Here is a 27962-nt window from a genome sequence, read left to right as displayed (position 1 = left end):
TTAAGCTGGGCATAGTGGCTCATGCCTATAATCCTAACACTTTGGGAGGCTGAGGTGAGCAGGCCACTTGAGGTCAGGAGTTCAAGACCAGCCTGGCCAACATGCTGAAACCCCACCTCTACTGAAAATACAAAAAAATTAGTCGGGCATGGTGGTAGGCACCTGTAATCCCAGCTACCCCAGAGGCTGAGGCAGGAAAATTGCTTGAACCTGGGAGGCAGAAGTGCAGTGAGCCAAGATCGCGCCACTATATTCCAGCTGAGGCAATAGAGCCAGACTCTGTCTAAAAATAAAAATAAAAAATAATAATTGGTCAGATGTAGTGGCTCACCCCTGTAATCCAGCACTTGGGAAGCTGAGGTAGGTGGGTCACCTGAGGTCAAGAGTTCAAAACCAGCCTGGCCAACATGGCAAAAGCCCACCTCTACTAAAACTACAAAAATTAGCCGGGTGTGGTAGCATGTGCCTGTAATCCCAGCTACTCGGGAGGCTGAGGCAGGAGAATTGCTTGAACCCAAGAGGCGGAGGTTTCCGTGAGTCGAGATCGCGCCACTGCGCTTCAGCCTGGGTGACAGAGCAAGACTCCGTCTCAAAACATAACAATAATCAGTATTAGATGGGAGAAGAGGTCAAAGTCATAGATAAGACTACAAGATGGCCAGGGATGGGGTAGCTCACGCCTGTAATTCCAGCACTTTGGGAGGTTGAGGCAGGTGGATCACCTGAGGTCATGAGTTCGAGACCAGTCTGACCAACATGGTGAAACCCCGTCTCTACTAAAAATACAAAACTTAGCCAGGCATGGTGGCACATGCCTGTAATCCCAGCTACTCCAGAGGCTGAGGCAGGAGAATCACTTGAACCCAGGAAGCAGAGGTTGCATTGAACCGAGATCGTACCACTGCACTCCAGCCTGGAAAACAAGAGCAAAACTCCATCTCAAAAAAAAAAAAAAAAAAAGAAAGAAAGAAAAAGACTACAACAGCTGGGCATGGTAGCTCACGCCTGTAATCCTACCACTTTGGGAAGCTGAGGCAGGAGGATCACTTGAGGCCAGGAGTTCAAGACCAGCCTGGCCAACATGGTGAAACGCCATCTCTACTAAAAATACAAAAATTAGCCAGGCATGGTGGCATGCACCTGTAATTCCAGCTAATCCAGAGGCTGAGGCACAAGAATCGCTTGAACCCAGGAGGCAGAGGTTGCAGCAAGCCAAGATCACACCACTGCACTTCAGCCTGGGCAACAGGGCAAGACTCTGTCTCAAAAAAGAAAAAAAAAGAAAGAAAGAAAAACTAAGGACTACGAGAGCATAATACTAGGAAATAACCTTCATGTAATAAATATCTGAATATATTATAATATAAGGAGTCAGTAAGAATAACTGAAAGAAGGGAAAAAATCAAGAGTTAGGAGAACCACGTGAATGGTATGGTAAAAGCCAAGGAAGCAAAAATAAGAGTTTAAAGTAGGAGAAAAATGGTCAAGCAACCGCAAATGTAGCAAATAAAGCCTGAATAAAGATCAGTGTGTTTACCAATAACATTAGCTAAAACAAAGAATGACAGAGCAATCATATATCAGTAACTGAATAGAAAATGGGAAAATAGTGTGTGTGTGTGTGTGTGTGTGTGCACACGCATGTGTATATAATTTTTTAAACCCTTAAATCAGAGGTTGGCAAATTTTTCCTGTAAAGGAACAGATAGTAAATATTTTACGCTTTACAAGCATCTATGGTCTCTGTCACATATTCTTGTATACATACTAAAATAGGCTATAGGCCAGATTTGTCCAACTCCTGCCTAAAAATAATTTCTGCTCCCGTATCAAGCATTTAGAAAAAAAGTTTACATATAGCTAAATACCATTTTCACACACAAAGATAATGCTATTTCTTGGAGCATGATTCAAGTTGCTTTTCTCCCTTTAGTGACAGAGATACTATACGTTAATAAATCTGAACCACTCTCTTGATCCATTAAAATCAAAGGCTTAACCATATGTAATCCCAACAGCTGCTTTCTATAACAAAAAAATAAGCCTGGCTGGGTGTGGCAGCTCATGCCTGTAATCCCAGAACTGTGAAAGGCCAAGGCTGACAGATCGCTTCAGCTCATGAGTTTGAGACCAGCCTGGGCAACATGGCAAAACCTCTTCTCTACTAAAAATACAAAAAATTAGCCAGGGATGGTGGTGCATGCCTGTAGTCCCAGCTATTCAGGAGGCTGAGGTAGGAGAATCACCCAAGTCCAGGAAGTCAGGGCTGCAGTGAGCCGTGAATGCACTACTGCACCCATTCTAAGTGACAGAGCCATACACTATCTCGAAAAACAAACAAACATACGTCTGACCCTTTCACCTAACAAACTCCTTCAGGCCCTATCCTCCAAAGGAATTTCAATAAATTCTGCATCATCCAACGGTACAATAAACTGTTTCTGGATAACAAGGGTAAAAATATAATTTGTGGTCAACTGTTTAAATCTTATTTTAATTATGTTAGATAATCAAGATGATTAAGCTGTGGCTGAAGAATCAAGTTTAAAGATGGCATCCACCAGCTGCAATTACAAACAATACCACAGCAAAAAGTATAACCTGAAAGAACCTTTCCCCTTTGACAAAAAAACTATGCATTGCTTGAGCAGCACTTCCTCCTGCTGCAACAATCCTTAGAAAAAGCAAAGCAATAACCAGCTCATAGACAAGACAAGGGGAACTCATGAGCACGGAGATTCCAAATTCAAAAAATAGTAGCTGTTAGTGGCCTACAATTTTAGCAAGAAAAGGAAAGTAAAGGAAATTTGTGTGCAGGGATTTCTTTACTTTTGCTGAACTTGGGTTTAAAACTCAAAATAAGGCAAGTTCAGGCCGGGCGCGGTGGCTCACATCTGTAATTCCAACACTTTGGGAGGCGGAGGCGGGTGGATCACCTGAGGTCAGGAGTTTGAGACCAGCCTGGCCAACATGGTGAAACCCCATCTCTACTAAAAAATATATAAAAAATTTAGCCGGGCATGGTGGCACACACCTGCAATCCCAGCTACTTGGGAGGCTGAGGCAGGAGAATCGCTTGAACCTGGGAGCCAGAGGTTGCAGTGAGCCGAGATGACACCACTGCACTCCAGCCCGGGCGACAGGGTGAGACTTCGTCTCAAAAAAAATAAACAAACAAAAATAAGGCAAGTTCAAACAAAAAGAAAAAACAGCATCATTCACAATAGTCAAATTCAAGTTTTGCTTTTTGGAACTTTGTGAAATCCTCCCCCCCATCTCATCCCAAATATTTTGGATTTGTGGTTAGTTGAATACACAGCTGCAGCCTCCACGGAATACTGATTGTATAGACAACTCATGATTACAGGCAACTTTCTGTATCTGAGGAGGACTGGTGCCAGGACCCTCCCCAGATACCAAAATCTGAGGATACTCAAGTCCCTTAGTTGGCCAGCTATAACTGTGGATGCAGAACCAGTAGATGTGGTGGGCCTACTATAATTGAAGAAGGGAAGAAAAATAACGCCAAATCATAATGGAAACAAAACTTATCTATATAAGGCACAAAATGGATTCAGAGTCGTTATTTGTATCTAATATTTGTGAATTTACTGCCTGAGGGATATCCTAATCCATAAATTGCCCAACCAAAGAAGAAGCTTAAAATTATTACTTGTTAAAACAGTATTGCTTACGGCCGGGCACGGTGGCTCACGCCTGTAATCCCAGCACCTTGGGAGGCCGAGGCGGGCAGATCATGAGGTCAGGAGATCGAGACCATCCTGGCTAACACAGTGAAACCCTGTCTCTACCAAAAATATAGAAAAATTAGCCGGGCGTGGTGACGGGCGCCTGTAGTCCCAGCTACTTGGGAGGCTGAGGCAGGAGAATGGCGTGAACCCAGGAGGCGGAGCTTGCAGTGAGCGGAGATCATGCCACTGCACTCCAGCCTGGGCGACAGAGCGAGACTCCATCTCAAAAAAAATAGTATGCTTACTCTTTCTTTAAAATTTACCTGGCATAACTGAAGCTTTGTACCCTTTGACCAACATCTTTCAGTCTCTCTCTACCCCCTGGCATCCACCATTCTACTTTCTACTTTTATGAATATTTTGCAGTATTTGTCTTTTTTTGTTTTGCCTATTTCACTTAGCATAGTATTCTCTAGGCTCATCTATGTTGTCATAATTGGTATGATTTTCTTTTTTTTATTGAGATGGAGTCTCAAATGTAGTCAGGTGTTGGTATTCTTGGGTGGTCCTGGAACCAATCCCCCAAGGATATCAAGGAACATTCTAAATACATATGAATAATTCTGATAAGTTATCCAATTTGCCTACAATTCTAGATCCTGAACCCAACTGATTCTCATTACAGAAAAATGATGTCACTTCACAGAATGTAAAAGCAGTTGTAGTATATTTTATAGTGGCTTACATTTATCAACATCTGTAGCATTCCACAGAACCAAGATGTTAAATCCAACACCTGGCCCATCTCAATCTTCCTTTTATTTCTAAGAACAGAAAAACTACTACTTACCATTCAGAAATCTCTTGCTTCAATTGAGGAACTTCACTAAGTGCTGAATCAGTATCCATGAAACCAAGAAAGTCTCGTTTTATATTAAGGGAAGTCTTCTCCAAACCCTTGCCTGATGTTTCATGACCCCTTGACAAAGGATCCAAATCACCTGGTTGTATCTCTGACCCCTGACCTTCTGTAAGACGGACCCGATGACCAGAAGAACTGGAAATATTATTCCCTTCTTGGTCAGAGCTGTTCTTTTGTTTTCCATCTCTCTGGGGCTTATTATTCAGCCCATCATCCCGAAAGCCTTTGGCAAATGGATTGTAATCTATTTTCAGCTGAGTAATCTGAATGTTCTGATAAGCTGTTACTGCAAAGAATTCAGTCTGTGGGAAGGTAAAAGTGTGGACACCAGGGCCATTTAATTGTATCACCTCCACAGCCTTTTCTGCAGGCACCAAATGAAGCCTCGGCAGGTAACGATGCATAGAGTGCAAGATGATATGCCCTTCTTGGTCCAGTGTATTGTTGGTAAGTTTGAGTTTATAGAAAGATACTGGTTGATGCATCCAATAATGACCTGTGGAAGGAGATTCTGGATGAATGAAAACCCTCCCCAAAACATGAGGTTCAGCCTTCCCACTAGGTTCCCACCAACGACCATTCCACTTATAACGATGGTTATCCACAGGAGATATATCCATGACAAGAATATACTTCAAATTTGAATCTAAACCTGTTATCCAATAACGACAGTAAGGAAACATGCGTCTTCCTTGCTTGGTCAGAATCATCTCTGTGCTTCGATGATAGAACTCATTCCACATACTATTGTTATCGAGGGTAACAGTGATTCCACCCACAGTACAATCAGCTGGAAGGCAAATCTTCCCTTTAGATTTTACTGGTGATGACACACTACTAGCCAAAGCACAGGCATCCTGATTAGTAACCAAAATTCCTTGATCAGTTTTGCCATTTCCTGGCTGCTTTAAGATGACAAAGAAGGTAGGTGCTGCTCCTGCCACTGTTCCACCATCTTGATTAGCCAATATAATCTGCTGTTTCTCCTCCATGATTTCAGTAGGAAACTCAGTAGTAAGACAACTGTAATCACCACATAGTCACAATGGCCTTCCCATCCTAAGAAACAAGCAAAAAAAAACCAAAAACAAAAAACACCCTTTAATCAAGTGAGTATTTATTTCTTGAACAAAAATACAAGAACGATTATGTTATCCCCAAAATATTCCTAAATTCTTCTAAGACTTTGCTTCTAAGCTTTTCTTTCAATCACAGTAAGAATATTTACTCTGGAATATCTAATCATTTTTTAAAGTTCATTTTAATCTAATTAGTTAAGGTGCTTATATCCTAATCCTCTAACAATTCACTATAAATACTATAATCTCACACAAAGAAACAAAAGAGTATATTCATTATTAAAAAAGTATACAAAATTAAAAAGTTAAATTTGAAGGTTATGCATTTTTAAAGCATCCTAACACTTTATGAATTTACCAGAAGATTCCTTTATATAGCAAGTTCCCCAGTGATGAGTAAATTAAATAAGTAAAGTTCCATTTTCATCCCAAAGAGCTAATTGTACAGAATTAGTTCTTCATATGGTTCAGAAGACATGGTTCCATAAATAAGTAAAAAGCTATCTAACTTCTTAGTACACACGTTTAAAGAAGCCATGACAAATCACTGGAACTCAATGGACCTTACACTGAAATAAATTCCAGATGACTCTAATATTTAATTTTTTTATTCCTAAATCCTGAGAAAAGTTTTTTGATAAGACACAAAATCTAAAACCAGTAAGGCCAAAAAAAAAAAAAGTGATAAATTTAATACTATATGATGCCAGGTGTGGTGGCTCACACCTGCAATCCCAGCACTTTGAGAGGCTGAGGCCAGTGGATCATTTAAAGCCAGGAATTCGAGACTAGCCTGGCCAACATGGCGAAACCCCATCTCTATTAAAAATTAAAAAATTAGCCTGGTGTGGTGGTGCACGCCTGTAGTCCCAGCTACTCAGGAGGCTGAGGCATGAGAATCACTTGATCCTAGGAGGCAGAAGGTGCACTGAGCCAAGATCACGCCACTGCACTCCAGCCTGGGTGACAGGGAAAGACTCCGTCTCAAAGAAATAAAAATAAAATAAAATTTAATATTCTGTAAATTTTTTAATCTGGCAAAATCATTTAAGCAAAATCAAAAAGCAAACTAACCAGGAAAAGGTATTTGCAACTTATAAAGAACTCCTTTCCCTAATATAAAAAGGGGGCTGGACATGGTGACTCACACCTATAATCCCAGCACTTTGGGAGGCCAAGGCAGGAGGATTGCTTGAAGTCAGGAGTCCCAGACCAGCCTGTCCAACGTAGTGAAAGTCCGTCTCTATTAAAAAATAATAGCGGCGGGGGAGCAGTGGCTCACGCCTGTAATCCAAGCACTCTGGGAGGCCAAGGAGGTCAGATCACTTGAGGTCAGGAGCTCAAGACCAGCCTGGCCAACATGGTGAAACCCTGTCTCTACTAAAAATAAAAAAATTAGCTAGGCATGGTGGTGTGCGCCCATAATCCCAGGTACTCGGGAGGCTAAGACAAGAGAATTGCTTGAACCCAGGAGGTGGAGTTGCAGCGAGCCAAGATGGCACCACTGCACTTCAGCCTGGGTGACAGAGCGAGACTCTGACTCAAAAAAAAAAATAAAAATACATTAACAGTAATAATAATTTTTAAAGGCTTCCTACAAATCAACAAGACCAAATACCTAACAGAAAAATGAGTAAAGGATAATAAACGCAAATGGCTATGAATATGTACATAGTTAAGAGGAAAGCAAATTAAAGTCATCTTGAGATACTGTTTTTTTACTTATCAGACTGGCAAAAATCAAAGCCTGGTAGTGCTGGAAAGGGTTAGGTCAACCAGCATTCTCCCCTAAGCAGTTACTGGGAGTATAAAATAATAGAATCTCTAAGAGAGGGCAACTTGAAAATATCAAAAGTACAAATCCATATATCATCCTATGACAAAGAATTGTTCCCAGGACTTTAAGTTTTCTTAATTCACTGTTAAAACCCACTATAGGACTTTATTTTAAATACACACACCTGTGATAAATGATATCTATACAAGATTATCCCCTGCATTCCCACTTATAACAGCAAAAGACTAGACAGGAAGAGAGAAGTCCTTAAAATGGTAAAACAAATGATGACACATCCATAGAGTGGAATGTTAACAGTCACAAAAGAGAATGTATAAGCTTAATGAATGCATGCAAAAAGTATCTACAAGATATATTAAGCGTAAAATGTTCAGAAGAGTTGTAAATTATGCCACACATCTTTTAAAAGTTTTTTATTGTACCTCTTAAACTTCAGACAGGGAGAACACGTGCAGGTTTGTTTACATGAGTCTACTGCATAATATAAGGTTTGGGCTTCTAATGATCCCATCATCCAAGCAGTGAACATAGTACCTGATAGGTAGTTTTTCAACCCTTGTAAAAGATTTTTCCTTTTTAAAATCAAAGAAATAGACAGTATTTCGGTCTTTAAAATAAATAAAAAGCCAAAGAATGAAAAAGAACATGTACATATTTGCTTTACACAGACTATCTCTGGAAAGACAGAAAAGAAAACAGTAGTATTGGTCATATCCAAGGAAAACTTGATGACTTGGAAAAGATACCCTTTTACACTTTGTAAATTTTGTGTCTTGTGAACACACAACCTTTAAAAACTAAAACACAGGCCAGGTGGGCAGGTGCAGTGGCTCACACCGGTAATTCCATCACTTTAGGAGGCCCATGTGGGAGTAACGTTTGAGGTCAAGAGTTCAAGACCAGCCTGGTCAAAATAGCCAGTCAGTCTCTACCAAAAAAAAAAAAAAAATAGCAGGTATGGTGGCCAGGAGGCTGAGGCAGGAGGACACCTTCAGCAGCCCTGGAAGTTCAGGTTGCAGTGAGCCATAACCATATCACTGCACTCCAGCCTAGGAGACAGAGTGAGACCCCGTCTCTTTAAAAAAATAAAAAATAAAGTTAAAATTAGTTAATTATTAAAGGTTATAAAGAAAAAGGTCACATATATTGTATGATTCCATTTATATGAGATGTCCAACACAGGCAAATCTAGAGAAACAAAGTAGATTAGTGGTTTCAGGGGAAGGGGTAACTGGGACTAACTGCTAATGGGTGTGGGATTTCTTTTTGGTGTATACTTTAAAATGATGAATTATATGTTATGTGAATTATATCTCAATAAAAAGTTATAATAAAGAAATGAGGCCGGCCATGGTGGCTCATGCCTATAATGCCAGCACGTTGGGAGGCTGAGGCAGGAGGATCGCTTAAGCCCAGGAGTTTGAGACCAACCTGGAAAACACAGTGAGACTCCATCTCTACAATGGTGTGTAGCTGTAGTCCCAGCTACTTGAGTGGCTGAGGTGAGAGGATCCCTCGAGCCTGGGGGTGGGGAGGCCAAGGCTGCAGTGAGCTGTGATGGTGCCACTGCACTCCAGTCTAGATGACAGAGTGAGACCCTGTCTCAAAAAAAAAAAACCAAAACGAAATCTGATTGCTAAAATCAACCGAACTCATATGCCAAATTAAAGCTACAGCTTCCAGTTTTTATACAAAAAGGAAGATGCTACATCACCACCACTCCTGTGTAAGTGGGTCAGTAATCTTAATCAAATTCAGCCACTTATTAGTCTTCTTCATTATAATTAAAAAGTATTTTACCTTTCATCAGAGCTAATGATGAGCAGCAAAAGCACCTAATCTGAATTTTACCTCTTCTTACAAGATTGGTCATACAGCTCCAAAGCTTAAAATATCTGTTAGTCTACAGATAATAGATATTTTTAAAATCACGACTTCAAAAGGTTTACTATTGTTTCCTATTATGACTAGAGATAAAAATAGAAATTCACTTCCCAACACTAAAGCACTAATATCAGGAAAGGTCAGGAACAACAACAACAAAAAATCTCTCCTCTGATGTGAAGTTTATTTTTAAAAGAGATAAAATGTACAGTGATTCTTTTCAAAAGCTGCCTCAAGCTTTTACCTATGAAGTTGATTGGTTTTCTAAAACTAACACACTTAGGCGATACCTATCAGAGACTGACAAAACAAAACTAAACGGAAGTCACAAATAAGGTAAAATATTAAAGCTTAAAGAACTGGCAAAAAAAAAATACCTCTACAATGATGTATAATTCAAACAATGCAAACTCCTAGCTTGTACTTATTAATTCATAAACTTCAAGGTTTTATTACAAATCACCAACTATTTTTGTGAATAAGTATGCAAAACATCCTTTGTGTGTATGTGTTCCACGTGAGCACAACATCCTTAGGTGCATTTCATATGACTAAGGCAGCAAAGAAGTATATGAAAAAAAATCTAGTTATCCCAAACCTATAAATTACATGAAAAGGTGCCGAATTTATTAAACATCTTTCTATAAACTAAAATTTTGGTTTTCAGATCATTACCAGTAAAACCAAGACAGAGAAGTTTTAACCAATTCTTTAAAAATTACTGTCTTTTAAAGATTAATCTATGAAATGTCAAAGATGCAGTTGACAAAAACCCAGTTTGGTGAAAATCAGACTGCACTTGAAGTAAATTTTACACTAACTTTATATACACACACTGAGTTTTTCTTTCTGCCGAAGCAAAATATTAGTGCAGAGAAGTCATATCAACCTATTTCAACTTTGTGCACAGGCATATAATAAAAAAATGTAAAAATGTGCCTGAAGACAGGAAAATAAACTTCTGACTTATGATTTGTATAAGGCCGGTTTTTTAACTCCACTAATCAAATTAATCCATTAGTTGATGAAAATGCATTGAATTAAAGACTTAATTTATGACTAAAACCATCTCTATCTTGAGCCATAACAGCTACTGGTTTAAGAACATGGAATGAAATTCTTATTCTACATCAATCTAGGCACAGATTCCACTTCGCTATAAGCATATGCCTAGGTTTGGAGCTACCATATGAATTTTCTTTTTTTTCTAAGATAAATATTGTAAAACATTTGAATTTTCTAATCAAAGGGCAGTCAATTAAGGATATTCAGCTGTTTCAGACACACCAAGACCACTCTAAAGTCTACTTAAGCCAACCGCAAAACTCAAATGTACTTTAGAAAGGGGTAGGCTAGGCCGGGAGCGGTGGCTCGCGCTTGTAATCCCAGCACTTTGAGGGGCTGAGGCGGGCGAATCACCTGATGTCAGGAGTTCAAGATCAGCCTGGCCAACATGACAAAACCCTCTCTCTACAAAAAATACAAAAAATTAGCCGGGCGTCGTGTTGCGCACCTGTAGTCCCAGCTACTCGGGAGGATGAGGCAGGAGGTTGCAATGAGCCGAGATAGCACCACTGCATTCTAGCCTTGGAGATAGTGTGAGACTCGGTCTCAAAATAATAACAACAACAACAACAACAATAATAATAATAAAGAAAAGAAAAGGGTAGGCTACTCATGAAGAAATAAATCTTCTAGCAACATCCTAAAAATACTCTGGGAAACTAAAAGCTTTAATGAAAACCACAATTTTGGTATATATATACCTTAACATTCAAAAACTTTCAATTCGGCTTTTCAACATCAAATTTTTTTTTTATCTAGATAAAATAGCTACAATAAAAAGCCAACAAAATAAGTTGTGGAGGGGAAAATTCAGTAACACTCTGAAATGTCACACCAGAAGACATATACACACACAAAAGCTATCATAGAAAACATTTTTTAGGTAAGTAATCTAACAAGTTCCATAAATTGTTACAATTTCAGACTCCCTATTTTAATGTCTTTTCACCAGTGACCTCTTTGGGAAATGTTTATCTACTAAAGCAATGATCCTCATACAACTCACAAAATACACTAGTTTTACTAGATAGTTTCCTAATTCAATGATTAATGTACTGTGCTCAACCCCAAAAATTAGTTACACAAAATCAAAATTCCAAGTCAATACCATTATTTAAAAACACAAATATTCAAATGCTAAGCAACACATTCTGAACGTTTTCCAAATTGCTACAAACTTCTACAACCTTTCATACAATAAATACAGTAGTATGGCAGGCACCAAGATGTTAGTATATTCCTTAATATGATCCTTCACTATAAGAATATGGTTAAATTACATTTGTGAAACTCAAATTTCAAGAGAACAGGTTCACTCAGATTTCAGTATTTAGCCAATAAACACTGGGTCAAGAAATTTTAAGTTTCTTAAAAACAGAATGTGGATATAAATATAATAAAATGAAAGCAAATGGTGGCAAAGACAGTAAAATAGCCAACTATTAATACTTTCTTAATCGCTCTTAACCATCATTTGCTTATTTTTACTAATTTAATAAATGGTACTTGCCATTTATTAAGAACTACTCACTTCGGAACAGACAATATCCTGGGCATTTTATCGTCACAACCTTATAGGGCAAATGTCAAAATATTATCTGAAACACTTTTAGGTTTTAAGGCACAGAATTGCACCTGCGTAAGAGAGTACTGCCTCCTTCTCTTCCCAGATATCATTTGTTACTGCTAGCCGCAGGAGTATTTTTTATTCCTAAGAATGGACCCTAACTACAACTCAGGGCCAGAAAGCTGACAGGTCTCTAGCAGTTGGGTAAGCAGAATTTGAAGAACTTTTAAGGCAGAAACTGGCAGTAGTCAAACTTGAAGTAAGTATGCCAAGGTACCCAGGGCACTGAATTTCCTCAAGTCTTTAGCCTGTGTTTTCTGTAAAGTGGACCCAACCCACTTAACCCACACAAACGCTAGAAACAACCGTTGGCGGCAAGAAACACTAGCGCTGTTCCGATACGCAGGAAAGTAAAAGGCTCGGTCTCACTGCCTTCCCCGAGAGGAGCAGACGCCGTCGACTATTAATGACCCACAAACCGCCGCTTTTCAACTGCAAAGGACAGCTGGCCAAGAACCACGTGAAAAAATGCCGCAAGGAAAGCTCTTCCGGGGAAGAGTCCCGACAGATCACGTGCCGCCGGCCGGAACCCGATGATCGCTCTGCGGGACCCAGCCGCGTTCTGTTACCTTGGAGACTACAGAACCAGCCACCAGACCCTCCCCTGCCAACCCCCTTCCCAGCAGCCGTCACGCCGCCCCCAGGCACTTTCCCTGCAGCCTAGCCGCGGCATCGTGCCCAAAAAGAACGAACAGAGCAAGCAGTTGTTAACCAGGGACTCAGCCGCATAAGCCTGGCAAGCTCTACAACAACACGCGCGGGTGGGCTCGAGACTTCTCATGATCCACGTGTTTGCTCCGGCGAGGCGAACCTTGGGAAAGTTATCTTCCCAATAAAAGAGTGCACTTTGGTTTCTCGTGTTGGTCTGCCATCAGTAACCCCTCCTTTCAGACCTCATTTACCCGTTCCTGCTTCCACCCCGGCCAGAGAAAGAAGGCATTCCCAGGGTTCGAAAGGCAAGGCAAAAATCTGTACAGCAAGACACTACCACTTTTGCACTCCCGACCCAGTCTGAAACGATCCCTAGTTTCCCCATATTCTTCTGACACATAGATCCCTCAACTTTGGCTACTGGAGCTTTGGGGGGGCGGTGGGGGGGTGATGTTAATGTCCCAGATACCTTGCACTGAGGGCAGAGACCTACTTGACCATTTAACAGAAACGGGAAACCCCATAAACAGAACTAGGTAAAAGGCTGCCCCACAGAGGAATAAAGAAAATAACACCTGCTCTTCCCACCTGTTTTCCCCTCCCTCATTTCTGCACTTACACACCACCGGTCCTTTGTTTACCAAGTCCCCACTCCTACAGCTCACTTCCTCGCCCTCCTTTATTAAACTTGACGTCCTGCCTCAAACAATTTGGCCGGAAATTACTTGTTAGAAAAGACGTTTGCACAGGTGTCAAAACGCTGCGCCAAGTTCTCAGAAAAGCGACGCCGACACCGTTTCCCTTGGAGTTCTAGAACCACGAGACCTAGGCTCTAAACTGAAAAGCGCGTAAGCGTGGCTCTCGACCTAGAGCCCGGCGCCGGGCGAGAAGTCGTCACGCGGACCGTACCACGCGGAGCGGCACCCCACACACGCGAGGGCAGGGCCGAGCCATGGGCGCTTCTCACCCCTCCCGCCTCGTGGCCGCTCTCTCTGGCGTCGATGTTCCCAGTTAGGTAGCTGAGCGACGCGGAAGTGAGGCCGGGGACGCGCGCGAGGTGACATGCGCAGCCTCGCTCAGGGACCACAGGGGCGCGCCAAAGGCGGCCCTGCGCAAGGCCCGGCCTGGCGAGGGCGTGCGAAGCTCTCTCAGCGGAACGTTTCTCACGCCGTTCAAATACACAAGAGCTTCAAACTCTCGAAAAACTCCAATCGGGCCAGTACTAAGCGATGCCCTCCACCCAGGCCCGAGAGTTACCGTGCGGGGCGTGGCCGGCCTCACCCGGAGTCCTTCACATCCCGCTGGGGGCGGGTTATTCTGTTCGGTTCGCACACCGTGTGTCCGCTCCAGCTGAAGAGCCTGCGCGCGCGCACCGGACGTCCACGTCACCGCGCACGCGCTCCTACCCGCTCGGAGCCCGCCGCGCAGGCGCAAAAGGAGACGCGAGCAGCACCTCCCTGACCCCTCCCCCAACACCAGGAGTCCAAACGGCCCCAGAGCAGCAGCAAGACCCTTGGGACCCGCCCCCCGAGTGGAAGCCGCTGCTTTTCCGGGTCCCTGCAACCCAGAAAAGCCTACTGAAGGTTCTAGAACCAAGAAAGGCGAGGCAGGAGGGAGGCACCTAAACTCCTCAGGCTTGCACACGAAGCCTTCGTGGAAACTGTGAAACCAATGCCCGGCGGGCCTTTCTCAACTGTGCCTTTCACCCTTTCCCTAGGGCTCCTCGCCGGCTCCGCCCCGGCCGCGCCCAGCCCCACCCACACGGGGCTCCGCAGACCCCCAACCTCCACAAGCCCGTCAAATGAATCTGAGGTCTTCCACCCCGGAGTACCGGGGCTTGGACAGCTCCAGAGCATTGGGAAACCTTGAAGCCAAAGACCTTGAGAGACGGATGGTCGAGTTTACAACATCCACAACCGAAGACGACTAGGAAAATGGGGAGGAGACCGAAAGACTCAGTGCGCAGTTGGAAAGCGAAGAGTTGCCACTAAATTGCCGGATATAAAGATGAAAGATATCTTGATAAAACAGGGAAACGATGCAGGAGTGTGTTATCTAAGCTTTAGTGCCTTGATCCTGTGCATTCAATTTTTGTTTCTTCAAGACATTTAAGCTATGAGGTGCAAAGAAAGTATTAGTGAATATCTATTATGTGTCAGGCAGTTGCTGAAGTAAATCAATGGACAGTATTTCTCCTAACCTTCAAAAAGTAGTTTTCTTTCTCCTTCTCTACTCCTTACCAGCTGTTCTTTCTTCTGTGCTCCTGACACCAGTAAAAAGGAAGCGTAGTTTCTTAAAAGGCAAAAAAGAAGTAGGGAGTAGGAGAGCAGATTTTGTGGTCAATGATCCAAAACTGCCTTCTTTGATAAGAATTAGCAAGCACTGAGAACCTACTACGTGACATGCTATGTGACAATACAAAACACTATGAAGGAGAATGAGAAGACTAAGGAAGGAGTCAACAGAAGGAGGCTTATCCAACACTACTGATCTGACCTACTTTTTACTTAGGAAGGTCATATTTCTCTACACTTTGCTCTTCCTGAGGAGATATACAACAACATTGACAGAAACTGCTGGAATAGTCTGAACTAGAAAACGTGTAGGCTACTTTAGAGACTTCTGAAGGCATTCTGAAACCCCAAGTCAGGCACGGTCAGCAAGAGCATTCAAGATCCTAGGCAAAATTGAAAAGTAACAGTTTAACACCTTCCTCCTCTTCCCTGAACCCAAGAACTTCTTTCCTACAAGCTGCCCTGTCAGAATCTCCCACCTTACCAAGAATGCCTTCCTCTCAAGGATCTGAGGTTTCCTCATAAAAATTTTCCATTTTCTGGGGAAGAAGTAAATTTATGTTGATTTAGCATTAAAATATATGATCATAAGGTGTGAATGACTGGTTAACAACCATGCATCCCCAAAGAGACAAGTTAACCCAAATGATCTCTCTAACTGGGGGATCTGTGAGGACAACTTGGGAAGAAGGGGAATGGAGATTCTCTTTTGGTACTCCTTCCCTACACCAGGCAAACATATAACTAAATACTAGATACTTTAAAAAAACAAAACAAAAAAAAAACGCTGAACTTTGAAGATTCAGTACTACAGATCTCGGTGGGAGAGGAAAACTATCCATAGTTTTTCAAAGTGGAGTCCGCCTAACCTAGAGAGGTCGGGAGATGTCAAGAATCTGAGGGTCCTATGAGAACTTTTAAGTGTTTTTAGATGATATTCTAAAAATAATCATACCACCACACACATTTCAGGGATCCAGTTTGGATTTACCATCATGCAGGTACCAAGTAACCGCTTGTTTTTCTTTTTTATTTTTTGTTTGCTTTGAGTAACCACTTAAATGGTTACATTCAACTTTTAATGCAGCATTCTCATACTAAAGTTCTTGGTTGTATACTTTGGATAATGTAAGAAATTTCCTCCTTTAAAAGGCATCCATATATAACCGAAGGTTTAAGAATGCCAAGCTAACTGCTAAAGTGATGCTCCTAAGTTCCACCTTTTTCAGTTATCATAGCTCAACTTATTGGTCCAGCCTAACACAAAAGTCTTTGCCTTGATTTTCCTAGACTGCACGTTCAAGTAGATTTTTCTGAATATTAAGGGGAAACAAACAAAAAACTAGAGAGAATGCATGCAATTAAACAGTCTGGCCTAGAATGTACACAGTTTTGATCCTAGATTGTTCTATAAACACATAGGCACTATCTCATTTACATGCACACTTTTCCTATTCAGCAAATATCTGAGTGCCTACTATATGCTGAGGATAGGGGAAAGGCTGGCACCCCATGCACTTTTCAGATGTCTACAGCAGAACCCCAAAGATTGGCACAACTTAAGTAACAGAATCCACCAAGACAAACTTCCTCATCCAATCTATTCAGATCCAATCCTTTCGGTTCTGATTTCTAAAACATCCTCTGTCAACTGACAAAAAGACCTCACTCTTCAGATGAAACCACTACCATGAACAAACTCCTGGACTATGGCCTTGTTTAAAATATCAATATAATAAAGAACATTCATAAAATAAGGGCTACATACAGACTGAGTTGCAAAAGATGCTTGTTTTTTTTTTTGTTTTGTTTTGTTTTTACAAAAAGTCCTTCGGCCAGGTGCGGTGGCTCAGTCCTGTAATCCTAGCACTTTGGGAGTCCGAGGCAGGCAGATTGCCTAAGGTCAGGGGTTCAAGACCAGTCTGGCCAACATGGTGAAACCCCGTCTCTACTAAAAATATAAAAAAATTAGCCGGGCATGGTGGCGTGCGCCCATAATCCCAGCCACACGGGAGGCTAAGGCAAGGGAATTGCTTGAACAAGGGAGGTGGAGGTTGCAGTGAGCCGAGATCGCGCCACCGCACTCCAGCCTGAACGACAGAGCAAGACTCCATCTCAAAAAAAAAAAAAAAAAAAAAAAAAAAAAAAAGGGCCTTCACTAGCCAACCTGAAAATTCAGGTCCTAGGCAGAGGGTAAAAAGAGAATCATAGACAACTCCATCCTTGCCCACCATTTAGTACTACAACTGAAATCAAGTCATGCTGGGGGGCAAAGTATGATTGCCACCAATATCTGTAATGAAGGAATTAAGGAATTAAAAATTAACGATTTAAGGAATTAAAAATGGCAAGATATCTGCCTTCAAGGAGCTAATAATGTACCCAAAGAGGAACTTTTAAGACTTTCTGGGCTGGGCGCAGTGGTTCACGCCTGTAATCCCAGCACTTTGGGAGGCAGAGGCAGAAGGCAGGTGGATCGCATGAACCCAGGAGTTCAAAACCAGCCTGGACAACATAGTGAGAACCCATCTCTGCAAAATATTAAAAAATTAGCCAAGTGTGGTGGTGCCTGCAGTCCCAGCTACTCAGGAGGCTGAAGTGAGAGAAATGCTTGACCACAGGAGGTCGAGGCTACAGTGAGCTGTGATTGTGCCACTGCACTCCAGTCTGGGCAACAGTGAGACCTACCCCCCAACCCTGTCTCTTAAAGAAAGAAAAGAGTTTCTTAATCAGCATAGTAATATTAAAAGCATGTTTTAGAAAATGTTAAGAGAAGGGAGGATGAAAAGAAGGACAGAAATGTTACGGAATATAATCAACATTCATTAAGAAACACCCACTGGCTCATGCCTGTAATCCCAGAACTTTGGGAGGCTGAGGTGGGACGGACTGTTTGAGCTCAGGAGTTTGAGAGCAGCCTGGGCAACATGGCAAGACCCTGTCTCTACCAAAAATAAAATAAAAATAAAAATAAAAATAAATAGCTGGGCCTGGTGGTGTGCATCTGCGGTCCCAGCCACTCAGGAGGGTGAGGTGGGAGGACTGTTTAAGCCCAGGGGGCAGAGGTTGCAGTGAGTCAAGATCATGCCACTGCACTCCAGCCTGGGTGTGAGAGAGAGAGAGAGAGAGAGAGAGAGAGAGAGAAGAGAGGAGAGGGAGAGAGAGAAAGAAACACCATTCCTCCTTGCTGCCCCACATCTCAAGCCCACATAACCACGTTCCTCACCCTTGCCTAAGAAGATTGCCCCAGATGCCTCCAGCCTAACTCTATTCACCCTTCATACTTAAGTTTAAATGTATTTTCTTTAAGACGCTTGCCCTAACCCTCATGATCAGGTAAGGTCTTCCAGTTATATGCTCTCATAGTACCCTGTATTTCTTTATGGCATTTACCACAACTGTGTTAATTATTTTTAAAACCACGTATTAATATGTCTTCCGCATTAGACCATTAGCTCCACTCTATTCCAGTGCTGATCACAATGCCTGGGATAGGGTGGACACATATTTGTTGAATAAATAAATAGAAGACCACAGATCCTCATTTTTTAGGCAAGTCTCAATATCAAATACTGATTCAGTGTCCAACAATGTGAGGTTTGGAAAACAGGGTCGTAATACATACTGAAGTTATATTACGTAGTTATATCCCTGGCTTTGGCAAACATTTCCCAAAGGGGTAGAGTTGTGATTTTAAAAAACTAGCACCCAGTGACTCTTATCCCAAATTATTTATCTTTAGGGGAATAGATAAATGTTGACAGGGCAGACACTTGAGGAGATACAAATATTTTTCTAGGAAAGTCTTATTGACTGCCCATTGACTGGATACAGTCTGCCCTCTGTATCTGTGGGTTCCACATCCACAGATTAAACCAATCATGGATCAAAAATATGTGGAAAAAATAAAACAAATAAATGACAATACAACAAAATAAAAAAAAGTATAACTATTTACAAAGCATTTAAATTATACTAGGTATTATAAGTAAAGATGATTTAAAGTATACGGGAAAAGCCAGACACGGTGGCTCACGCCTGTAATCTCAACACTTTGGGAGGCCAAGGTGGACGGATCACTTGAGGTCAGGAGTTCGAGATCAGCCTTGCCAACACAGCAAGGCTCCACTAAAAATACAAAAATTAGCCAGGCATGGTGGCACATGCCTGTAATCCCAGCTACTTGGGAGGCTGAGGCACAAGAATTGCTTGAACTCAGGAGGCGGAGGTTGCAGTTAGCTGACATCCTGCCACTGCACTCCAGCCTGGGTGAAAGAGCAAGACTCTGTCTCAAAAAAAAAAAAAAAAAAGTAAATTAAAAAAATAAAGTATATGGGAGGATGTACATGGGTTACATGCAAATACCATGCCATTTTATAGAAGAGACTTGAGCATCTGAGGATTTGGGTATCCTGCAGGGGACAGTATCTTGGAACCAATCCCCCACAGATACTGAGGGACAAATGTATTACCTAGAAAATCAACAAAAACAAACAGATCCTTAGAATAAATTGGAAAAAATGTTATGACACCATCTGGCAATAGAAGCAACAAGCTGTAATGGAGACTACCATCTGTTATATATTCATCTACAAGAAAAAATAGCAAATATATTAAAGAAAGGACACTTTAGTAACAGTGAATTTGTTTTACTAAATTCTAAAGGGAAAATGTCAGTCAGGCACAGTGGCTCGGGCCTGTAATCCCAGTACTTTGGGAGGAGGAGGTGGAAGGAATGCTTGAGCCCAAGAGTTTGAGACCAGCCTGGATAACATAGTGAGACTCCATCTTTATTTAAAAGATGGCACAGTGGCTCATGCCTGTAATCTCAGCACTTTGGAATTAGGCAAAAATCAAGAAGAAGCCTATGAGAGAAAAATATACTGGAAAATTGTTTACAAATGCATATGAAAGAAGCCATCCTTCCTTTACATGAAGGGCAATACTGCCTCAGGGAAAAGAGCTATGGTGATCAACGCAGGAATTCCCCAACTATTGGACATCACAGACCAGCAAGATATCCCAAAAAAGTATTTAGAGGACCATCATAAGGTGAACAAAATTTACCTTACAAAACATCCATCATCTATTATTACTATGATTTTTTTTAAAAAAAGATCATTTTCAGATTAAAAACCACTAGAAAGAACATCTCATTATAATAGTCTTTTTAATACACTTAGATAGATGAAAAATTCACTACATTGTCCTTATTCTGTGATATACCACTGAAAACAACTTTGCAGACAGGTATTTAGAAATAACTGATCAGCCGTACAGCAGCCTCCCTAGATAGCTAAGATTTGATGTTCACAGAAAAAAATACACACAACAGGACTGTGATGGAGTATAAGTCACTTTGCCAAGAAGTCAAGAGTCAGCTTCTCCTCATCAGTAACAATACAGAAGAGGATATTAGCCAAGAGACATCTCAGTTGAGACCGAAGGACAGCCACAAGATTAAGAAGCTACTTTGGGAATCAGGGTGGGGGAGACACTGAAAACAGGAAATCCTTTACGGTGGGGCAAGATCCTGGAACTTTGGTAACGGTACAGAACAGTGTAGTGAAACCAAGGTCAGACAGACCCACCCAATCACCACATAACTAGGAAAAACTGTGGAACACATGGTGGCAAAGGAAGAGGCAGGTTAAGTTACACTTAGTTTAAACTAAGCTCCAGGCATATCACATATATGAGGAAAAAAGGTGGGGGAAACTTGTTTTATTTGAAAAGTAAACCAAAAGGGTTTTTTTTTTCTTTTTTTTTTTTTTTAAGAGATGGGGTCTCACTCTGTCTCCCAGGCTGGATGGAGTGCAGTGGTATGATCACGGCTCACTGCAGCTTCAACCTCCTGGGCTCAAGTGATGCTCCTTCCTCAGCCTCCTGAGTAGCTGGGATTATAGGCCACGCCACCACAACTGGCTAATATATATATTTTTTAACGTAGAGATGGGGTCTTGCTAGGTTGGATTTTAAATATTACTTCAAAATATTTTATAATCTTGACCTTTACTAAAATTGTTAGCTGTGATCTAACCACTGGAAGGCAGGGAACACCTATTTTTTGTGTGGGTTTTTTTGTTTGTTTGTTTGTTGTTTTTTGTTGTTTTTTTTTCTGAGATGGAGTCTCGGTCTGTCACCCAGGCTGGAGTGCAATGGCATGATCTTGGCTCACTGCAACCTTGGCCTCCCGGGTTCAAGCAATTCTCCTGCCTCAGCCTCTCCAGTAGCTGAGATTACAGGCGCCCACCACCACACCCTGCTAATTTTTTTGTATATTTAGTAGAGATGGGGTTTAGCCATCTTGGCCAGGCTGGTCTCGAACTCCTGACCTCAGGTGATCCACCTGCCTCGGCCTCCCAAAGTGCTGGGATTACAGGCGTGAGCTACCACGCCCAGCTACACCTGTTTTAAAAAGAGGTAAAAGCTGTATGGAAATAGAGAACATAAAGATTATTCAAAGCAACTTGAATGCGGTGCAAATTATATGTATATAGATTATAAATTGTAGCGATTATACAGAGGCAGTATTTTTCATCTCATGACTAGTTCCACTCTACATTCTTGAGGTTCTCTATCCTTATTAGCATAAGTAAATAAGGCTACAATGAGTTAAACGAATATTTATTAAGCATCAACTATGTGCTAAGCCCTAAAACTGGGGAAAATGAATAAATAAAAACAAGTCCCCTGGGGAAAATGAATAAATAAAAACAAATCCCCTCAAAAAGCTCAAGCTCTGATTGAAAAGACAGAATAATCATATTGAAAAACTGTAGTTGGTAGTGTAGAAAAACCTCTGGAACACTATAGAAACATACAAAACCTACAAAGGGTATAAGTCCCAGCACTTTGGTAGGCCAAGACAGGAGGATCACTTGAGGCCAGAAGCTAGAGACCAGCCTGGCAACACAGTGAGACCCCGTCTCTCAAAAAAAAAAAAAAAAAATTTAATTAGCTGAGTGTGGTGGTGCATGCCTATAGTCCTAGCTACTCAGAGGCTGAGGTGGGAGGATCATTTGAGCCCAGAAGTTTGACGCTTCAGTGAACTATGACTGCACCACTACACTCTAGCCTAGGCATCAGAGTGAAAGGCGGGGAAAGGAGAGGGGAGAGGGGAGAAGGGAGAGGGAAGAGGAGAGAAGGGAGAGGTGAAAGAAGAGAGGGGAGGGGAGGGCAGAGGGGAGGGGAGGAAATAAGAGGGGAAAGAGGAGGCCAGGCACGGTGGCTCACGCCTGTAATCCCAGCACTTTCGGAGGCTGAGGCGGGTGGATCACGAGCTCAGGAGATTGAGACCATCCTGGCTAACACATGAAACCCCATCTCTACTAAAAATACAATAAAAAAAAAAAATTAGCCGGGCGAGGTGGCAGGCGCCTGTAGTCCCAGCTACTCAGGAGGCTGAGGCAGGAGAATGGCGTGAACCCAAGAGGAGGAGCTTGCAGTGAGCCAACATCGCACACTGCACTCCAGTCTGGGTGACAGAGCAAGAGACTCCGTCTCAAAAAAAAAAAAAAAAAAAAAAAGGTGGGGGGAAGAGGAGAGACGGGGGGAGGGAGAGGAAGGAGTGGAGAAGGGAAAGGGAGGGGAGAGGGAGACAGGAGCGGAGAGAAGAGGGGAGAGAAGAGGGGAAAAGAGGGGAGAGGAGAGGGGGAGGGGAGAGGAGAAGGGAAAGGAAGAGGGGGGGGAGAGGAGAGAAGAGGGGAAAGGAGAGGGGGAGGGGAGAGGAGGAGGGGAAGGAAGAGGGGAAGGGGAGAAGAGAAGGGGAAGGGGTAAGAGAGGGGAAGGGGTAAGAGAGGGGAAAGGGGGAATGGGGAGGAGAAGGGGGAAGGGAGAGGAGAGGGGAGAGGAGAGAAGAGGAGAGAGGAGAGGGGAAAAGGGAAAGGAAGGAGGAAAGGAGAAGAGAAGGAGAGGGAAGGGGAAGGAAGGGGAAGATGTACAGGGAAGGAAGGGGAAAGGGAAGAAAAAAAAGAAAGGGGACTTTTCTTTACGAAGAAGAGGAGACTTTTCAGCTGACTCTTGAAGGAGAAATAAAATTAGAAAGTGGAGGAAGACATTGCAATCAGTGGCTATGTAGTCAATGAACTACAATAAATTATCCAGAATTTGGAGATAGGGCTGCCTTTATAAGAGTAAAACACTGAAGATCAAAACAAGAGACAAAATTAAAACGAAGTAAGATCAGTAAACTTATCTCATAAGTACTATGGTCTGAATCTGTCCCCAGAAAGTTCCTGCATTGGAAACTTAATTTCTAACACAACAGTTGGGAGGTGGGGCCTTAGTAAGGAGTGACTGGGTCATGAGGTCAGGGCCCTCATGAATGGATTAATGTTGCTATCACAGGAGTGGGTTAGTTATCTCAAGAGTGGGTTGTTATAAAGTCAGTCCTGCCCCGGTGTCCCCCTCTATCTCACATGCTCCCTTCTGCCTTCCACCATATGATGACCCTCATCAGATCCCAGTGCCATACTCTTGGACTTCCCAGCCTCCAGAACTGTGAGCCAAATAAACCTCTATTGTTTATAAACTACCCACTCTGTGGTATCCTGTTATAGCAGAACAAAATGGACTAAGACCAGATGAAAATAACCTAGGTTACTTGGAAATGGGCTTCTATATTTGGAAAATATTTATCCAATCTACAAGTCCATGATGTTCATGATACATATTCACTCTTTTGAACATTTAGATCCCTACTCTGCACTATCAAATATTTATAAGAGGTATACAAAAGAAAAACTATAGGGCCAGGTACAGTGTCTCACGCCTGTAATCTCAGCACTTTTGGAGGCTAAGAGAAGCAGATCACTTGAGGTCAGGAGTTTGAGACCAGCCTGGCCAACATGGTGAAACCCTATCTCTACTAAAAATACAAAAGTTGGCCAGGCATGGTGGTGCACGCCTGTAATTCCATTTACTCGGGAGGCTGAGACAGATGAATTGCTTGAACCAGGGAGGTGGAGGTTACAGTGAGCCAAGATCACACCACTGCACTCCAGCCTGGGTGATGGAATGAGACTGTCTCAAAAAAAAATTAAAATTAAGAAAAACTATAGAAGCATAGTGGTAGGAGGAACTGACACTGAGGTATCAAGTAAGGCTTAGTGTTAAAGAATGTCTAGAAGTTGACAAAGCACACAAGGGAAGGAAGGGCATTCTAAGGAGAAGGAACAGCTTATGCAAAGGCACATGACAAAAAAGAACAGAGTATTCATTAATTCCTCAAGTCAAACATTTATTGAGCACTTACCATGTACATATCCTGGAACGCAAAGACATGATTCCTACCCTCAAAAGCTTACCATCAATTATCAGACAACTATTATCAGATAACCAATACTCAATGATGACAACAAAGAATAAAGAAAGCTACTGGCTCTCTGCCTGGGGTGTAATGGAAGTATAAACAAAAAGCAACTAAATTATACTGAGGGATCATAGAATAATTCTCATAGGAAGTAAAGAATTACTTTGGTTACTGGTTAACCAAAGTGGTGTGGAAGGCTGGGCGCGGTGGCTCACGCCTGTAATCCCAGCACTTTGGGAGACCAAGACAGGCAGATCACCTGAGGTCAGGAGTTCGACACCAGCCTGGCCAACATGGCGAAACCCCGTCTCTACTAAAAATAAAAAAAATTAGCCAGGTGTGGTGGCGGGTGCTTGTAATTCCAGCTACTCAGGAGGCTGAGGCAGGAGAATCACTTGAACCTGGGAGGCGGAGGTTGCAGTGAGCTGAAATTGCACCACTGAGCTCCAGCCTGGGTGACAGAGAGAGACTCCAGCTCAATAAACAAACAAACAAACAAACAAACAAGATGGTGTGGAAGATGACAATAAGACTAGAACCCAGTAAGACTTTTCTCCATATCCAACTACATATCCTCCTCTCCCTTCCTTCTACATCAAGTCAATCATCAAATCTTCCTGTTGATTCTACATCACTGACCTTCCTGACCATGATACGCTGTCAAAAACACCATGTATCTGTTCTTCCTAGAACTTACACAGGTCTATTTTTTATATTTATTTGTATAATTGTCTTCTCTCTCCTGTTCATCCCATCCCTACAAATTATAGACTATATGTCCTTTTTTTTTTTTTTTGAGACAGTCTCACTCTGTTGTCCAGGCTGGAGTGCAGTGGCATGATCTCAGCTCACTTGCAACCTCTGCCACCCAGGTTCAAGCGATTCTCTGCCTCAGCCTCCCGAATAGCTGGGATTACAGGTTCCTGCCACCATGACCAGCTAATTTTTGTATTTTCAGTAGAGACGAAGTTTCACCATCTTGGCCAGGCTGGTCTTGAACTCCTGACCTCATGATCCACCCGCCTCAGCCTCCCAAAGTGCTAGGATTACAGGTGTGAGCCACTATGCCCAGCCTGTATGTCCTTTTTAACCTCTACATTGTACCCTAAGATTCTATCAACAGTACCTTGCACATAGAAGCACTCAATTTAAAACATTTTGCACCCACACACTTCATTCCACCTTCATGCATCACCCTAGTCCAAACCACCAGCAGCTCTTACTCAGACTACTGCAACAGACTTTTCTTTTTTCTCTCTCTCCAGGCACTCATTCTGGCTCTCTCCTGTAATCCATTCTCCACACAGTATCAAGGGACCCTTTCTAAACATAAATCAGTTCATGCCATTTCTGCCATTTTTAACCTTCCATTAGCTTCCCATTTCATTTAGAATAAATCTAACATCCTTAGTATGGCCTACAGATCTCCGCGTTCACATCATTCTCCCCATAACACATCATACTCCAGGCACAATGACCTTCTATTTCTCAAATGCTCCAAACATTTTCTCAGAGAAGGGCTCTTACACTGCTTTTTCTATTTGCCTGAAACGCTTTGCTTCCAGTCCCCACAAACCTTCACCTGGGTAACACCTATACATCCTACCAGTTTGTCTAAATATCACTTCCTTAGCAATGCTATCCCTACTCCCTAATTTAAATTCTCTCTCAAAGTACCCTGTTCTATTCCCTCATAGTACTTACCAAAATGTATATTTACTTATGATTATTCAATGTCTCCTCCATGAATAACAGCTAACATATACACAGCATTTGCCATATATTAACTCATTTAATCCTAATAACCAGTGAAGCAGGCTGATGATGAAACTAAAAGGTTAAGTTAAAGATTAAACAGAGAGGTTAAGTAATTTGTTCAAGGTCACAAAGCAGTAAGGAGTCAAAACTTGAACCCAGACACTCTGGCTCCAAAGTTCACACTTTTAATGACTATGCTATAGAGTAAGCTTTGAGAGAACTAAATAACCATGTCTATTTTGTGCATCACTGCATATTCAGGTCAGGTGCCAGATACGAAGTAAGCATTCACATATTTGCAGAATGAATTTGTTAGTAAATAATTAAGAGGCAAATAATTATATTTAGAAGCATTAGGGAGAGGAATAAGAATAAAATGGGTTAGAGGCAATGATGATAGTGTCGATTCTGGACAAACTGAATTAAAGGCAGCTCAGGAACATCTTAATATCTGCTTAATTAGAATACCACAGGGAATCCATGGAGGGGCTGAAAGAGGTCCAGGAACAACCTAGAACAGTATGCAAAATTTAGTATGCGATGTACTTTTCTGGGGAGAAAGATATACCTTAATCAGATTATTAGGGGAGTATGTAATCCCCCAAAATATTTAGGAACCATTGATCTAAGTGGAAATGTCCAGTAGACACTGGAGATAAAAAAGGTGAACCTTAGCTAAATACAAAGATTTGGGAAGTAACTAAAGCCAGGGGTTTGAAAAAGCCCAAAAATGTAGAGTAAAATATTTCAGAGGGTTATGGTCAGAACAGACATTTAGATGACAGGTGGTGAAAAAAGAATCTAGGAAAAAGGAAGAGAAGAGTAGTCACAGAAATAAGAGAAAAATAGATGAGAGTAGAATTACAGAAGCTAAGGAGGGAGAATGTCTTAAAGAACAAGGAAGTGGCAGAGCCTCATAACCAAGGAGTCAAGGATTTAACAACAGAAAAATGTATTCCAGGAACTACACAGTTTCATAAGTGGAGTAGTACAACAGAATATTCACATATGCAAGGAGAGGAAGTAAATGAATATCAGGGTCTAGTGCTCAGGACAGAGAATCATACTGAAGAAATAGATTGGAAAATCAATGTATTTCAAACTATAAATGTAAGTGCAATTATTCAGGTAGCACATAGAGAAGTGGGGCTCTGATCTAGAATCTACGAATGAGCTTGCAGGCAGATGTCCTGTGAAACTCCTAAAATTGTAAGCACAAGTTTGTGTAAGGTACATACAAGCAATTTTTGACAAAGGGTCCATAAATTTTATCAATTTTCCGAGGGGTGTATGACCCAACAAAAGATAAAGAACCATAGAAGCTGAATGAGAAAAGAGAGCCAAGCTAGAAAATAGCCCTGGAGAACATCAACATATAAAAGAAACCTGAAGCTTATCCAATGGAAATAACAAATCTGAAGAAGTAAGTTGTACATGGAAGACAGGCAGTCTTCATGGATTTCAGACATTTTTTACTTGACATCATATATGCTCTATAAATATTTCTCTAACTTTTCTGACTGTGACTCAGTAAAAACTACATTGCTAACCAGTGTACACATACAGGTTACAGAAATAATTTTCCAGTAACCTGGAATGACACCAATACAGGTCCCCATAAACTTACAGTGGGGTGATATCTCAATTAACCCATCACAATTGAAAATATCATTAAGTCAAAAAACGCATTTTTTCCAGGGGGCGGGGGGTGACAGAGTCTCGTTCTGTTGCCCAGGCTGGAGTACAGCGGCATGATCTTGGCTCACTGCAACCTCCACCTCCCAGGTTCAAGCAATTCTCCCTCCAGTGGCTCACACCTGTAATCCCAGAACTTTGGGAGGCCAAGGTGGGTGGATCACTTGAGGCCAGGAGTTCGAGA

At 41.9% G+C, this 27962-nt stretch overlaps 1 protein-coding gene across 54 annotated transcripts in view; it reads right to left on the bottom strand.

Moving 5' to 3' along the window:
• MGA (MAX dimerization protein MGA) overlaps positions 1-27962 on the bottom strand; it is a 148717-nt gene that overhangs the window by 95440 nt on the left and 25315 nt on the right. For 21 of the 54 annotated variants that reach the window (XM_005254243.4, NM_001400225.1, XM_005254253.4 and 18 more), the window contains exons 1-2: positions 13976-14096; positions 4543-5673 (exon numbers count right to left, since the gene is read on the bottom strand). The exons of 12 other annotated variants lie outside the window; for them this stretch is intronic. In XM_005254243.4, coding sequence (XP_005254300.1) covers positions 4543-5606 — 1064 coding nt within the window. In that variant the 5' untranslated portion in view covers positions 5607-5673; positions 13976-14096. Of the gene's footprint in view, positions 1-4542; positions 5674-13443; positions 13755-13975; positions 14097-27962 lie in introns of those variants that run through there. 21 more of the 54 variants (XM_005254246.4, XM_047432276.1, XM_047432286.1 and 18 more) reach the window with 4 other exon arrangements.

The sequence above is a fragment of the Homo sapiens genome, chromosome 15 (genome assembly GCF_000001405.40).
Source record: "Homo sapiens chromosome 15, GRCh38.p14 Primary Assembly".
In the NCBI taxonomy this organism is placed as follows: domain Eukaryota; kingdom Metazoa; phylum Chordata; class Mammalia; order Primates; family Hominidae; genus Homo; species Homo sapiens.
The sequence above is the reverse complement of the archived record's forward strand: the minus strand, read 5'-3'. Positions and strand labels throughout refer to the sequence as shown.